Source organism: Homo sapiens, chromosome 3, assembly GCF_000001405.40.
Source record: "Homo sapiens chromosome 3, GRCh38.p14 Primary Assembly".
NCBI lineage: Eukaryota > Metazoa > Chordata > Mammalia > Primates > Hominidae > Homo > Homo sapiens.
In genome coordinates, this window is record NC_000003.12 from 32,039,221 (window position 1) to 32,055,670 (window position 16,450).

At 42.3% G+C, this 16,450-nt stretch overlaps 1 protein-coding gene across 4 annotated transcripts in view; it reads right to left on the bottom strand.

Annotated features, from left to right (window-relative positions):
- Window positions 1-16,450, bottom strand: part of OSBPL10 (oxysterol binding protein like 10) — a 416,868-nt gene that overhangs the window by 378,396 nt on the left and 22,022 nt on the right. For all 4 annotated transcript variants that reach the window (XM_047447390.1, XM_047447386.1, XM_047447389.1 and 1 more), the window contains exon 2: window positions 7,271-7,383. In XM_047447390.1, coding sequence (XP_047303346.1) covers window positions 7,271-7,278 — 8 coding nt within the window. In that variant the 5' untranslated portion in view covers window positions 7,279-7,383. The remainder of the gene's footprint in view (window positions 1-7,270; window positions 7,384-16,450) is intronic.

A 16,450-nucleotide genomic window follows, 5' to 3' on the forward strand; every position in this document is an offset into this window, starting at 1 on the left:
GAGGCTGAGGCACAAGAATCGCTTGAACCTGGGAGGTGGAGGTTGCAGTGAGCCGGGACCATGCCACTGCACTCCAGCCTGGGCAACAGAGCAAGACTCTGTTGCAAAAATAAATAAATAAATTAATTAATTAGTTAATTAAAAAAAAAAAGAGGGCTGGGTATGGTGGCTCATGCCTATAATCCCAGCACTTTGGGAGGCCGAGGCGGGCAGATAACAAGGAGGTCAGGAGTTCGAGACCAGCCTGGCCAGCATGGTGAAACCCTGTCTCTACTAAAGATACAAAAAATTAGCTGGGTGTGTTGGTGGGCACCTGTAATCCCAGCTTCCCGGGAGGCTAAGGCAGGAGAATCGCTTGAACCTGGGAGGCAGAGATTGCAGTGAGCTGAGATCACGTCATTGCACTCCAGCCTGGGTGACAGAGTGAGACTCTGTCTCAAAAAAAAAGAAAATATAAATTACTTAGATTATTTTAAGGAGAAGCAAACAAAATCATTAAAAGTGATATTGAAAGTTTATAATTCAAAATACTCATGTTTGTGTTATGTATTCTATAACTGGAGAAATAGATCATTTCCATAATCTATAATATTATAATATACAATATATGTAGAAGATGGAAACTTATGAAGCTGACTAATCATAATCCTTTTACCAAAGCCTGACAAAGACAGTCTCACTCACGGATAGGTGTGAAAATCCTAAATAAAACCCTGGCAGATCAAATTCAACAGTACGGTAAAAGAACAATGAATCTTGACCAAGGAAGGACATGGGCCAGCTTTGTGTTTTAAGGGCCTGAGACAAAGTTTGGCAGTTCGTCAATAAGTAAAACCAAATTATAATATGACTCAACAACTCCACTCCTAGTTTAAGGCAGTATACTCAGAGAATTGAAAACAGAGGCCAGGCACGGTGGCTCATGCCTGTAATCCCAGTACTTTGGGAGGCCCAGGAGGGCGGATCACCTGAGGTCAAGAGTTCGAGACCAGCCTGGCCAACATGGTGAACCCCTGTCTCTACTAAAAATACAAAAAATGGCTGGGTGTGGTGGCATGTGCCTGTAGTCCCTGCTACTTGGAAGGCTGAGACAGGAGAATGGCTTGAACCTGGGAGGCAGAGGTTGCAGTGAGCTAACATTGCACCACTGCACTCCAGCCTAGGCGACAGAGCAAGACCCCATCTCAAAAAATATATATATAGAAATTAGCCAGATGTGGTGGCATGCACCTGTAGTCACAGCCACTCAGGAGGCTGAGACAGGAGCATGACTTGAACCCAGGAGGTGGGTTCTTTGCAGCTGGCCTGGCATAGGAGTAAAGTCCAGTAGATAGGCCAGACACAGTGGCTCACACCTGTAAGCAAAGCACTTTGGGAGGCCTAGGTGGGAGGATCAGTTGAGGCCAGGAGTTTGAGACCAGCCTGGGAAGCATAGAGAGACCCTGTCTCTACCAAAAAATTTAAACATTAGCTGGCTGTGGTGGCATGCACCTGTAGTCCTAGCTAAACAGGAGGCTGAGGTGGGAAGATTGCTTGAGCCCAGGAGTTCAAGGCTGCAGTGAGCTATAATGGTGCCACTGCACTCCAGCCCTGGTGACAGAGTGAGACTCCATCTCTAATAAAAGTTAAAAATTGTTTTTAAGTGCAGTAGGGAACAGAGAAGAACTGAGATGACCTTACATTGTTCCTTGCAGCTCCAGAGAGGTACAGGAGATTATCTCTGTGTCCCTATGAAGGGGACAGTTTTAGCTAAAATAGAACTAGACCTCAAGAAGCTCTGCAGTCAGGAATAACACAGATGCAACTTGCTTGAATCAATGGCCTAGAACCAAACAGGTTCAGGTATATCTGGGCAGGTGCCCGCTTGGACAGAAATTAGCCCGGAGCCAGCTTCCTCCGTGCCACATACACCCCATGCCACTCTAGAGACAGTGTCAAGAGAAAAAATGAGGGAGGACTGAACTCAGGCAACCCAGGGTGGCAGAGATTACCCAGAACTGAGTGAGATTAAGTTCCCACGCCCTGATGGAATGTCTCAAAAGGAAAAGTAGATTAACTCATAGAAAAACAAAGTGTCATTTCTTCTGTGATTTGTGGCTTCAGATATGGTACTTGCCGCAAAGCAGTAAAGACTTTTTCACATGGTGGTTCCAGTCTACATTTCCAACCCCACTTTTGCCACTCTACTTCACACCTACAATGCCAGCAGCATCAGACTACAGGCCAGCTGGAAACACCCCGTGAGGTCTCTGCTTTCCTTCTGCTGCAGCACACTTAGGACAGGCTTTAAAATGGTCACACGCCTCCTATCAAGAGGCTGAAGTCCATAGTCCGTATCACTTCTTATTGAATCTGAGCTGGCCAACATTGATGCCTCTCTTGTGGAAGTGATACCACTGAGTTTCTTTCTTTCTTTCTCTTTCTTTCTTTTTCTTTCTTTCTTTCTTTTTTCTTTTTTTGACAGAGTCTTGCTGTCACTCAGGCTGGAGTGCAGTGGCATGATCTTGGCTCACTGCAGCCTCCACCTCCCAGGTTCCAGCAATTCTCCTGCCTCAATCTCCCAGGTAGCTGGGATTTCAGGCATGTGCCACCACACCCAGCTAATTTTTTGTATTTTTAGTAGAGACGGGTGTTTCACCATGTTGGCCAGGCTGGTCTCGAACTCCTGACCTCAGGTGATCTGCCTGCCTCAACCTCCCAAAGTGCTAAGATTACTGGTGTGAGCCACTGCACCTGGCTGAGTTTCTGAAACTAGTGTAGAAAATACCATGCAGCTTCCACCTGGTTCTCTTGGGACACTCACTCTGGGATCCCTGAGCTGCCAAATTAGAAATCTGGCCACCCAAAGGTTACCTGCTATGAGGAAGGCCCGTGGAGAGACCATAGGTAGGTTTTTCTACCCACAGCTCCACTAAGGCCTCATACAATAATAGCCAGTATTAGCCACCAGACATGTGAATGAAGATGCTCTCAGACAATTTCACCTCCCATCTGTGGGGTCACCCCCACCTTTAAGTCTTTCTAGTTAAGGACCCAGACATGGCAGATCAAAGACAAGCTTTCCCTGTTGCACCCTTTCTGAATTCCTGACCCACAGAATCTGTGTGCATAATAACATGGTTTGTTTTTTTGCCACTAAATTTGCTGTTTATTATGCAGCAGTGGTAGTGAAACAATGCCCTTCTCTATTTCGCTAGGTCAAAGTCTATTCATCCTTAAAGGCTCAGCAAAAGCATCATCCCCTTTTTGAAACCCACCTTCAGTTCCATGGTCAGAATGGATCCCTTAGTCTGACTTGTGTAAGATTTAGTTGTATGCTCTATCATATTGGGGGAACCTGCCCCCAATATTTCAATGTAGGTTCTTTCTATTTTCCATAAGTGTTGGCCGGCCGAGAAATAAAGAGAAAGTGTACAAAGAGAGGAATTTTACAGCTGGGTCACCGGGGGTGACATCACATATCGGTAGGACCGTGATGCCCACCTGAGCCTTAAAGCCAGCAAATTTTATTAAGGATTTCAAAAGGGGAGGGGGTGCAAGAACAGGGAGTAGGTCACAAGATCACATGCTTCAAAGGGCAAAAAGGAGAACAAAGATCACATGCTTCTGAGGAAACAGGACAAGGACAAAATCAGAAACTCCTGATAAGGGTCCAAAGATCACAAGGCAAAGGGCAAAAGCAAAGATCACAAGGCAAAGGGCAAAAGCAGAATTACTGATAAGGGTCTATGTTCAGCAGTGCAAGTATTGTCTTGATAAACATCTTAAACAACAGAAAACAGGGTTCGAGAGCAGAGAACTGGTCTGACCTCAAATTTACTGGGGCGGGTTTTTTCCCCACCGTAGTAAGTCTGAGGGTACTGCAGGAGACCAGGGCACATTTCAGCCCTTATCTCAACTGCATAAGACAGACACTCCCAGAGCAGCTGTTTATAGACCTCCCCCAAGGAATGCATTCCTTCCCCAGGGTATTAATTATTAATATTCCTTGCTAGGAAAAGAATTTAGCGATATCTTCCCTACTTGCACGTCCGTTTATAGGCTCTCTGCAAGAAGAAAAATATGGCTGTATTTTGCCCGACCCTGCAGGCAGTCAGACCTTATGGTTGTCTTCCCTTGTTCCCTGAAAATCGCTGATTTTCTGTTCTTTTTCAAGGTGCACTGATTTCGTATTGTTCAAACACACATGTTTTATAATCAATTTGTACAGTTAACACAATTATCACAGTGGTCCTGAGATGACGTACATCCTCAGCTTACGAAGATAACAGGATTAAGAGATTAAAGTAAGACAGGCGTAAGAAATTATGAAAGTATTATTTGGGAACTGGTAAATGTCCATGAAATCTTCATAATTTATGTTCCTCTGCCATGGCTCCAGCCGGTCCCTCCGTTTGGGATCCCTGACTTCTCACAACACTATCACTCCTTTCTCCTAAGGCCAGCACTACGTGTAGCAGGGAGCCCTACACATAGTAGGAACTCAAAAATAATTTGCTAAAAGACACAGCCATAAAAAGAATGAAATCATGTTCTTTGCAGCAGCATGGATGCAGCTGGAGGCCATTATCCTAAGTGAATTAATGTAGGAACAGAAAACGAAATACCGCATGTTCTCTTATAAGTGAGAGCTAAACATTGGGTACTCACGGACATAAAGATGGCAACAATAGACACTGGGGACTATTAGAGGGGGAATGGAGGGAGGGGGCAAGGGCTGAAAAACTACCTATTGGGTACTATGCTCACTACCTATTGGGTACTGTGCTCACTACCTATTGGGTACTGTGCTCACTACCTATTGGGTACTTTGGTGACAGCATCATACAATATACCAATGTAACAAGCCTGAACATGTATCCCTTAAATCTAAAATAAAAGTTGAAATTACTTTTTAACAAAAGAAAATTCCACATATTTATATTGAAACCAAGCCAAGCTGTGGTCTTCTGCAATGTTATAATCACCCTGTAAAGTCAATATACAAAATATATTGTATTAATTTTAACATTTCTAGGCTATTCAGGTTAAATTTTGTGTTCCAAATCTATCTTTCGTAATATAAGATTCATATTATTCTGATCACTTCTGGCTAAACCTTAAAAAGAATTCCCCTATCAATACAAAGAATATTAGTTGGGAAATAATATATATATAATAAATAATAATAATAATATATAACATAATTTAAAAAAATTTTAATGGCAAACAGTTGTATCTAATAAAGATTCTGAATCCTGGTCGGGTGCTGTGGCTCACACCTGTAATCCCAGCACTTTGGGAGGCCAAGGCGGGCAGATCACTTGAGCTCGGGAGTTAGCGACCAAGCCTGACCAACAGGAGAAACCCAGTCTCTACTGAAAATACAAAATTAGTCAGGCGTGGTAGCACATGCCTATAATCCCAGCTACTCAGGAGGCTGAGGCAGGAGAATGGCTTGAACCCGGGAGGCAGAGGTTGCAGTGAGCCAAGATTGCATCATTGCACTCCAGCCTGGGCAACAAGAGCGAAACTCCATCTCAAAAAAAAAAAAAAAAAAAAAAAGATTCTGAATCCTAAATAACAGATGCCATATACTAAGTATAAATAGGAATAAACTTGTATAATGCTCAAAAAAATTATTTGCTGAAAGAATCTTATTTCTCAACCTTATTTGAAATAGTAATTCAATGCAGCCTCTACTTAAAATTTGCAGAGAAGGGAACTTGATTTTTGAGGGCAAACTAGGCCTAACTCAAAATGAATGCTCTACTTTGAAAGATTCCAGAAAAAATCAATTGTGTCTTCCTATTAAAATTAATTTGCAGTGTGAGATAACTTACAGCATTTAATTTTGCTTAACCCACATTTTTTGTTGTTGGAAGTTTTCAAAATAGAAGAGGCCTTGCCTTTTAAGATGGCATAGTGGGTGGGGCCATGAGCTAGTGTGAATGAGAAACAGTCTGGATGGAGCATAGATTGCTTTTCCAAAGGCAATTCAGGGTATGGCTCCCATCTGGTGCAGGCATTCTACCAGGAAGCATTCCAAGTCCCTTTGCTTGTAGCTTCTACTGGGTTTCTCACAAATGCAAGAAAACACTTTTGAGCCACTAGGAGCTAGATTACACTAATGTCTGTTGTGAAAGTAAATTTTAACAGCAGCTGTTACGGTGATTATGATAAGACTAAACTAATAATAGAGTATATGCTAACAGATCAGTTTACAAAAAGACAGCCAAGACTGTTGGGCAAGAGGCTGGGAGAGGGCATAAAAGGTGAAAGCTTTGTGTACACGGTGAAAAGTCACCAGGAAATGAGACAGGGTCGATAATAGAATGACCGTAAGCTTGGCTTTCCACCTAAAGGGGTTCCAAACTGACAGCTCTAGCCTGTAGTCAGAATTAACAGACATTTTTAAAGGAGGCATCCAACTTGGAAACTATGCCAGCCTCTCAAGGCTTCCCACATCTGCCTAGAAGTAAGCTGTGGGGGAGGGGGTGGCTCACAAAGTGAAGCTAAGCTTCCTCCCTTCTCTCTCATCCAACGGGGCTGACTCAGCAGCATTAAACAAAAAGCTAGGAAGGGATTTGTATGGGTGTGTACCAGGTGTGAGCAGATGAAGCCTAAGAATCAGTGTGTGTGATTACTCAATGTTTTTAAAGAACAGAATCTCTGCCTGTTTGAAGATAGTGAGTTATCTCAAATGATTGCTCAGTTACAGGTTGAACTCCTTGTTCCACTCTTTCCTGACTTCTTAATACTGCACTTGACCAGTCAACAAACAACAAACAAACACCAGAATCTCGGTTCCGTTGTTTGTCCTGAATCTACTTTCCTGTGGGTTCTTATTTCTTACTTATTATACAGAATATTTTGGCATTGCAAAAATGGGGCCCTCAGCCCAGCACAGTTGCTCTCACCTGTAATCCTAGCACTTTGGGAGGCCAAGGAGGGAGGATCAGGAGTTCAAGGTTGCACTGAGCTATGGTGATACCACTGGACTCCAGCCTGTGTGACACAGTGAGATCCTATCTCTAAAAGAAAAATGGGGTCCTTCTTATATAAAAATACTGCTTACTTTTAAAAATTGACGCCCTCATCAAAATGTGTTAAAATGTGTCCTGGTTGTCTCCCATCTATTCCTTTTGCTTTTTCCTCAACCCCAGTGGCTTTAGCTCTTCCACCTTTAGACTCCAAGTTCATTGTACCTTTCTTTGTCAAATCAAAAAGAAATCAGAGATCACTGTCTGCACTTTAAACAAAATCCACTTATATAAATATAATAACTCACCCAGGCATCTGCAATTTAAAGACTCTTCTTGCAGAATGAGTAGTTCTATTTCCTATTAAATAAATGTTTCTGCTGCAGCAGCCAGATAGGAAAGTGATGAGGATGGGGGATAGCTGTGGAAGGAAAGCAAGAGACTTTCTTACTATAAATCGTAAATGTTAAAGACTGGCCCCAAAGCTAAGCCAACCAACCACCAATTCATCCATTCAGCGAACATTTGCCATACATTAACCAAGAGGTAGGGCATTCACTATCATTTACATGATTTCATGTACTTCTCACAAGAATCTAATGGAATAGCTACTATTATTATCCCCATTTTACAGAAAAGGAAATTAAGGCACAGAGAGTTAAATTAAAACAGACAACTACTAAGTGGTGGAACAGGGACATGCAAGAAGTCAGACCCTGTTACCAGAAAAAGGGTCCCAATCGAGACTCCAAGAGAGGGTTCTTGGATCTCACTCAAGAAAGAATTCTGGGTAAGTCCATAGAGTCTAGTGAAAGCAAGTTTGTTTTGTTTTTCTTTGAGACAGGGTCTTATTGTCACCCAGGCTGGAGTGCAGTGGCACGATCTCGGCTCACTGCAACGTCTGCTAATCTCTGCCTCCCAGATAGCTGAGACTCTAGGTGTGTGCCACCAGCCCAGCTAATTTTCGTATTCTTTGTAGAGACAGGGTTTTGCCATGTTGCCCAGGCTGGTCTTGAATCCCTGAGCTCAAGCTATCCACTCTCCTCAGCCTCCCAAAATGCTAGGATTACAGGCTGAGCCACCATGCCTGGCCTTGAAAACAAGTTTATTAGAGAAGTAAAGAAACAAAATAATGGCTACTCCGTAGACAGAGTAGCACCGAGGGATGCTGGTTGGCTATTTTTATGGTTATTTCTTGATTATATGCTAAACAAGCGGTGGATTATTCACGAGTTTTCCCGGAAAGGGGCAGGGATTTCCTGGAACTGAGGGGTTCTCCCCTCTTTAGACCATATAGTGGAACTTCCTGATGTTGCCATGGCATTTATAAACTGTCATGGCGCTGGTAGGGGTGTCTTTTAACATGCTATTACATTATAATTAGCGTATAATGAGAAGTGAGGACAGCCAGTGGTCACTTTTGTCGCCATCTTGGTTTTGGTGGGTTTTGGCCTGCATCTTTACTACAACCTGTTTTTTGTTTTTTGTTTTTTTTTTTGAGACGGAGTCTTGCTCTGTCGCCCAGGCTGGAGTGCAGTGGTGCGATCTCGGCTCACTGCAAGCTCCGCCTCCCGGGTTCACACCATTCTCCTGCCTCAGCCTCCCGAGTAGCTGGGACTACAGGCACCTGCCACTACGCCTGGCTAATTTTTTGTATTGTTTTTAGTAGAGATGGGGTTTCACCATGTTAGCCAGGATGGTATCAATCTCCTGACCTTGTGATCCACCCGCCTCGGCCTCCCAAAGTGCTGGGATTACAGGCATAAGCCACCACGCCCGGCCTACAACCTGTTTTATCAACAAAGTCTTGTGACCTGTATCTTGTGATACCAGTCCTGCCGACTTCCAATATCATCCTGTGACTAAGAATGCAGCCCAGCAAACCTGAGGCTTATTTTACCCAGCCCCTATTAAAGATGGAGTTGCTATGCTTCAAATGCCTCTGACAACCCCACATCTCTTCCTCTAACCACCGCACTTGGCAGTTCCTATTAATTTTGCTTTCTTTCCTTTCCCTTCCCAACACTGATATCTCTCCCTCTCATCCCTCTGCTCAAAATATTCAAGACCCCTGTTCCTAAAATCCATTCTCATTATATACTGTCATCTCTCCTAGACACTACTACTATTTTTTTTTTTTTTTTTTGAGACAGTTTCACTCATTGCCCAGGCTGGAGTGCAATGGCACGATCTCCGCTCACTGCAACATCTGCCTTCCTGGTTCAAGTGATTCGCCTGCCTCAGCCTCCCAAATAGCTGCGATTACAGGCATACGCCACCATGCCCGGCTAATTTTGTATTTTCAGTAGAGGCGGGGTTTCACCATGTTGGTCAGGCTGGTCTCAAACTCCTGACCTCAGGTGATCCACCCGCCTTGGCCTCCTAAAGTGGTGGGATTACAGGCGTTAGCCACCATGCCCAGCCTCTCTTAGACACTATTACTATAGACTAGCTGTTTTTTTTCTCTATACCCCTTTAAATCCCCCCATCCAACTACCAGCTGGTCATGTCAGAGGTGTTTGAACCAGAGCAACTCCATTTTGAATAGGGGCTGGGTAAAATAAGGCTGAGACCTATAATCCCAGGAGCTTAGACATTCTTAGTCACAGGATGAGATAGGAGGTCAGCACAAGATACAGGTCATAAAGACTTTGCTGATAAAACAGGATGCAGTAAAGAAGCTGGCATCCCAAAACCCACCAAAAACAACATGGCAATGAAAGTGACCTCTGGTTGTTATCACTGCTCATTATACACTAATTAGAAAACATTAGCATGCTAAAAGACACTCCTACCAGTGCTATGACAGTTTACAAATGCCATTGCAACATCCGGAAGTTACCCTATATGGTCTAAAGAGGGAAGGACCCCTCAGTTCCAGGAAATCCCTGCCCATTTCCCAGAAAACTTATGAATAATCCACCCCTCACTTAACATATAGTCAAGAAATAACTATAAGTATACTCAGTTGAGCAGCCCATGCCACTGCTCTGCCTATGGAGCAGCCATTACTTTATTCCTTTACTTTCCTAATAAACTTGCTTTTACTGTATAGACTCACCCCAAATTCTTTCTTGTGCGAGGTCCAAAAACGCCCTCTTGGGGTCTGGATCAGGAGCCCTTTTTAGTAACATCTTGCTGGCAACCATGAAGGGACTATACTGGGGAGACTCCTGACCCCAAGGACATAGATTGCAGCACCAATTGGCCAACTTTGGGTAAGTGGTAGGATACATTTTACCCAGGTAAAGGATAGGATTGGGTTAGAGGCCCAACTTAGGAGAGTCTCTCTAAAGACAGAGAGGGTTAAAGGCTCCTCTTAATAAAAGGCAAGGATGCTTGATTAAACTTGGGTTTGAGGCAAGACCCAAATTAGGAAGATTAGAATCCTTCCTAAGATTTAGGGGGTTAGAGGCCCCTCTCAGTAAAGTCCCCCTTGCTTAAAAATGGATTTGGCACTATGAGTTCTTAACCACTATTCTCTTTGGATTAATCTGCCTTGTACTCTCTGCTGATGGCTATGAGTGACAGGATTAGGCATGTACAAGATTATGGGACATGGAGAACTTTTCTTTTCCCCAAATGGGAAAACTTGAGAGCTGATGGGACTACTGGAAAAGATCCCTTGGTGATCAGCAAGCAGCTGCCTGAAGTTTTGATTCAGTGTTAGTGCAATGGGTAGGTCTTTCTCTGGCCTCCCCGAGCTCCTTGCCTTCCCCACCTCGCTGCAGTCAACACTTTTCTCCCTTCCCTTTCCTCTCTTTCTATGAAAACTTGTTATAGGAATGGTAAAAATCACTGTGTTCTCTGCAAAGTTTTGATTAATGGGAAAAAGGATTTGTGAGGCTAGTCTTAAGCTGTAGTGAATCTGGTGTAACAGCAGCAAAAACTGGATGAAGTTTCCCTCTTGTCCCAAGGTCCTTAGGAGCTTGACCTTGTAACCATGGGCAGTACTTTCTCTTGATCTTCGCCATCTGGAGGACAGGAATTTTGGAGTTTATGTCATAGCTCTAAAACATATCTTGAGCAGTTAAAAGCCATTGCAAGCTCAAAATTGACTGCTCTAGGCTCCTTCTGAGAAGAGCAATAGAGACTGCCCAGTGCTGTAGCTTAGTAGCTAAGGCTTTCTTTTCACAACGGTGGCATGAATTCAGGGTTCAATTTCTGGCTTTGGGAATGAGTCCTTTCTGGTTTGATATCTGTGTGATCTTTGCCATTTGTTGATTCTCTTCTCCTCCATGAACAACTTCTAACTTCCCTTCTTGAATCTTCCTTTCTCTGAGCTACCTTTGGTGTTTCTAAATCTTGAAAAAACTTCTAACCACATCTTTGAAAATACCTCATACACTCATGGTTAAGTCATAACCTTAGTTAAGGCTTATTGGTTTCACCTGGGAGATTACTTTTGGTAAAGTTCAAAGGCCAGAAATATTGGCTGTTTGGCCTGGCTAAAGTCAGGTAATAAGAGATACAAAAGGATTTTTTTTTTTTTTTTTGAGATGAAGTTTCGCTCTTGTTGCCCAGGCTGGAGTACAATGGTGCAATCTCAGCTCACCGCAACCTCCGCCTCCCTAATTCAAGTGATTCTCCTGCCTCAGCCTCCCAAGTAGCTAGAATTACAGGCGCCTGCTACCATGCCCGGCTAATTTTGTATTTTTAGTAGAGATGGGGTTTCTCCATGTTGGTCAGCTGGGCTCGAACTCCCAACCTCAGGTGATCCGCCCACCTCGGCCTCCCAAAGTGCTGGGATGACAAGTGTGAGCCACCATGCCCAGCCACAAAAGGATTTTTTTTAAAAGCTCACTGGCTAAAAGTCAGCTTAATTAAAAGTGGATATCCAAGCTATACATATATTTAGAAGGCCTTTATGTTTTTTCTCTTCTTGGCTCTTGTTTTTCTGGAAAAGAGGCTTTATTTTCTTCTCAGTTGACTGAATGGTTTGTCTCTATTTTGCCTTCTTGCTACTCTTGATGCACACATGAGAGGACCTAAGATAATTTCTAACAGGCTGGGACTGCTGGGGAAAACAGAGGAGGCACCACAGACTCCATTTTGGGAAAAATCTGTTTTCCTCATGAAACCCCAGGAATTCAAAATGGATAGATCCCTCTCAAAATCTAAGGATCTGTTCTGTTTTGCATTGTGTTATCTGACTTTTTTCCTTTTGGAGCGTTATCAGAAATTCTCATTATGAGAAAGCTTTGGTGTGGAATAACTAGGTAGGAAATACACTTTTGGGGATAGCTAATGGCAGTTATCAGGGGATACTCAGCTCTTTGATGTTTGGATTAGAGAAGCATGCTCTTGGCCACCTGGAAGTTATGGTAAAATGTCCTCACCCCCCACTGAGAGATAAGACTCCTATGGGAAATGGGCTAGTTCCCTCTCTTTGGAGATCCAGGATCTGGTATAAAAATGAGACCCTTAATTTTTGTGGATCTATTTTCCTTTCCAGCCATGCCTGCTTACTAGGTCCTAGAAACTGCATGTTTTCCTAGACCTGTTTCTTGAATGGTTCCACCCTGAAGCCAGTAATCCAACTAAGAAACTAAAAAACTGGCAAATGAAAAATCCTACAACTACTAGATCTTCTTGTCTGTCTGCGTATTTATATGTGGTGTGTGTGTGATGTCTATGTATGAAAGAGATCTAATTAACTGGCTTAAAAATAATAAGCACTTAATTCAAATGTTTTGTCAGAAAAATAAAAACTGTAATGCTTTTTAGTTCACATGACTTTAGTAAGCTTTGGGAAATAAAGACAGTTTTCAAGATTATTGGTAGGCCGGGTGCAGTGGCTCATGCTTGTAATCTCAGCATTAGGAAGGCTGAGGTAGGTGATCACCTGAGCTCAGGAGTTCAAGACCAGCCTGGGAAACATGGCAAAACCCCACCTTTACCAAAAATACAAAAAATTAGCTGGGTGTGGTGGCATGCACCTGTGGTCCCAGCTACTTGGGAGGCTGAGGTGGGAGGATCACTTGAGCCTGGGAGGTAGAGGTTGGAATGAGCAGAGATCACACCACTCCACTCCAACCTGAGTGACAGAATAAGATCCTGTCACAAAAAAAAAAAAAGCAAAATAAAGATTAATAAAATTTAGATATTTGGTTTAAATTAGGTCAGAGATTAGATTTGCTAAATGCTTTAATGTCATAAACTGCTTCTTTGACTTTTGAAAATTGGTTGACTTTATTGTGGAAGACAGTGTGGTGATTCATCAAGGATCTAGAACCAGAAATACCAGTCGACCCAGCAATCCCATTACTGGGTATATACCCAAAAGATTATAAATCATTCTACTATAAAGACATATGCACACATATGCTTATTGCAGCACTATTTACAATAGCAAAGACTTGGAACCAACCCAAATGCCCATCAAGATAGACTAGATAAAAAAAATGTGCTACATATATACCACGGAATACCATGCAGCCATAAAAAAGGATGAGTTCATGCCCTTTGCAGGGACATGGATAAAGCTGGAAACCATCATTCTCAGCAAACTAACACAGGAACAGAAAACCAAACACTGCATGTTCTCACTTACAAGTGGGAGTTGAACAATGAGATCACATGGATGCAGGGAGGGGAACATCATACATTGGGGCCTGTCAGGAGTTGGGGGCAAGGGGAGGGAGAGAATTAGGACAAATATCTAAAGCATGCGGGGCTTAAAACCTAGATGATGGGTTGATAGGTGCAGCAAACCACCATGGCACATGTGTACCTACGTAACAAACCTGCACGTTCTGCACATATATCCCAGAACTTACAGAACAATCAAAAAAAAATTGATTGACTTACCTGCCTTGGAGCCAGTAGATTCTAGGTAAGGCCTGGGGACATGTGGAGTTACCTATGCCCCCTGGCTATGCTGGAAAGAGTCAGACCTTATCTGCACTTCTGTCTGGTGTCCTAGGCTCCACACCTAGTACATAATTCTAATTGCTTGTTTACCAGGTTTTTCACCAAAAGTAAAAGTTGCTAAGAGTTAACAGTATAAAGTGTAAAGAAACAGTTTTACATGCAAGGCACGTGAGGAAAGTGAAACGTCCTTTTGGTAAAAGGTTATAAGAAGGCATGGGAATGTGGATTTTTCAACTAAAGGGTTAAAGGATTGTTTTAAGTTATATTAGGATAAAGCTGAAGGTTTGAGCAAGTTGTGGAAGGTTTGTGAAAAATTAACCTTATAAAAGAAATTCTGTGTGTGAACATACTGGCTAAAGTTAAAGGGGTATTACTCAGTTTTTCTGTAAATTGGACATTGCAATAAAAGCACAATGTGGTTTTCTTAGAGCACTAATCTGCTCTTTTACAAAAATTGTAAAGGGTTATCAAAGGTTTATGAGGCTCTTACCTTATGGTCAGACATTAAAATTGGATAGATGTGTCTATGAATTTTCATTAAGACCTGGGTTTGATATCAGTAGTACACTAATGCAAGGGTGAAACTTGGCTTTCTCTCTTGAATAAGATTTTCATGTAATATTAAAAAAAATAATGAGGATGGTGCTGTGGCTCACACCTGTAATCCCAGCACTTTGTGAGGCTGAGGCAGGTGGATCACGGGAGGTCAGGAGTTTGAGACCAGCCTGGCCAACATGGTGAAACCCTATCTCTACTAAAAATACAAAAATTAGCTGGGTGTAGTGGCATGTGCCTGTAATCTCAAGGCTGAGGCAAGAGAATCACTTGAACACGGGAGGCAGACAGAGATTGCAGTGAGCCAAGATTGCACCACTGCACTCCAGCCTGGGCAACAGGGCAAGACTCCATCTCAAAAAAACAAAAGAAAGAAAGAAAGAAATTTTTGGGTTTTGTTTGACTTTTGAATAAGCTACAGGAAAAAGAAGGGAAAGACAAGAGACAGATTGTTTGGAAAGCTAAATCTTCCCTCTATCAATGAGCAAAGCTTTCTGCCTTTAACAAAATTTTTGAGTTATCATTTTGACCAAGTGAATGACTTATGGTAACCTGGGATTCTATTTTAAAATATCAAGTGCTTAAATCTTTGATATTTAATAAACTTTCCAAAATCATTTTCTAAATTATGTCTTTTTCTGATCTAATTAATCTTTTAGATATTAGGTCCCCTAAAGTCCAAAAGAGACATATTTGGCTTATTTGGTATAAAAATCACACAGGAAGCATTGTCAAATATGAAATGGTATTTGACTTTCTTTGGGTTGTATTTGTATATGTTATTGGTATGTGTTCCAAAATTATTTGAAACTCCTATAATTCTTATATGACTTAGTGTATGTTATTAATAGTTATATTATTACATAAAATTGTTGTATGCCACAGAAGTAACCAACATTTCCTGGTCAATGGTGGCTTTTTTTTTTTTTTTTTTTTTTTGAGACGGAGTCTCACTCTGTCACCCAGGCTGGAGTGCAATGGCATAATCTTGGCTCACTGCAACCTCTGCCTCCCAGGTTCAAACGATTCTCCTGCCTCAGCCTCCCAAGTAGCTGGGATTACGGGGGCGGGCCACTACGCCCAGCTAAGTTTTGTATTTTTTAGTAGAGATGGGGTTTCACCACATAGGTCAGGCTGGTCTCAAACTCCTGACCTCATGATCCACCTGCCTCAGCCTCCCAAAGTTCTGGGATTACAGGCATGAGCCACTGTGCCCAGCAATTGTGGCTTTAATAGTGGCTGTCCTAACTAAGACTTTTGGTCATTCACAGAAAATTGTTCTCTCGTTTTGATCCTCTACATAAGGTGGTTTATAGGACTTTGACGGGTATAGGACATTGACAGGTGCTCTTGAATGCAGGTTTCTGATAACTTTGGAGACTGCAACATTAGAATATAGGAAAAAACTTTCAGGACTCTCATGAAGAGCTGAAATGTTCATGAATATCAAGAACAGGAGTTAACTGCATGGACTAAGCTAATAGAAGACTGAAATAATCCTTTTATGACTTTTTGCTTAAAACTTTGCTGATCCTTTGTTTTGTTTTTCAGAACCAAGAAAACTTTTGAACTATTTATAGCTTTTTTTTTTTTTTTTTTTTTTTTTTTTTTGAGACGGAGTCTCGCTCTGTCGCCCAGGCTGGAGTGCAGTGGCGGGATCTCGGCTCACTGCATCCTCTGCCTCCTGGGTTCCAGTGATTCTCCTGCATCAGCCTCATGAGTATCTGGGATTACAGGTGCATGCCACCACACTGGGCTAATTTTTGTATTTTTAGTAGAGATGGGGTTTCACCATGTTGGCCAGGCTGGTCTCCTAACCTCGTGACCCACCCACATCAGCCCCCCAAAGTGCTGGGATTACAGGCATGAGCCATATTTATAGCTTTTAACATTTTAGTAAAGTATACTCCTATAAACAAAACTTGGATTATATTTCTCTCCACTTGATTTCTCTAAAATTTGGAAACTAGTTGTGAGTATTCTTATCAATATAGTTATTTGCATAAGTGCAATAAGAATCTGTTTTCTCTTGTAACAAGACACAATTGGAGACATTGATT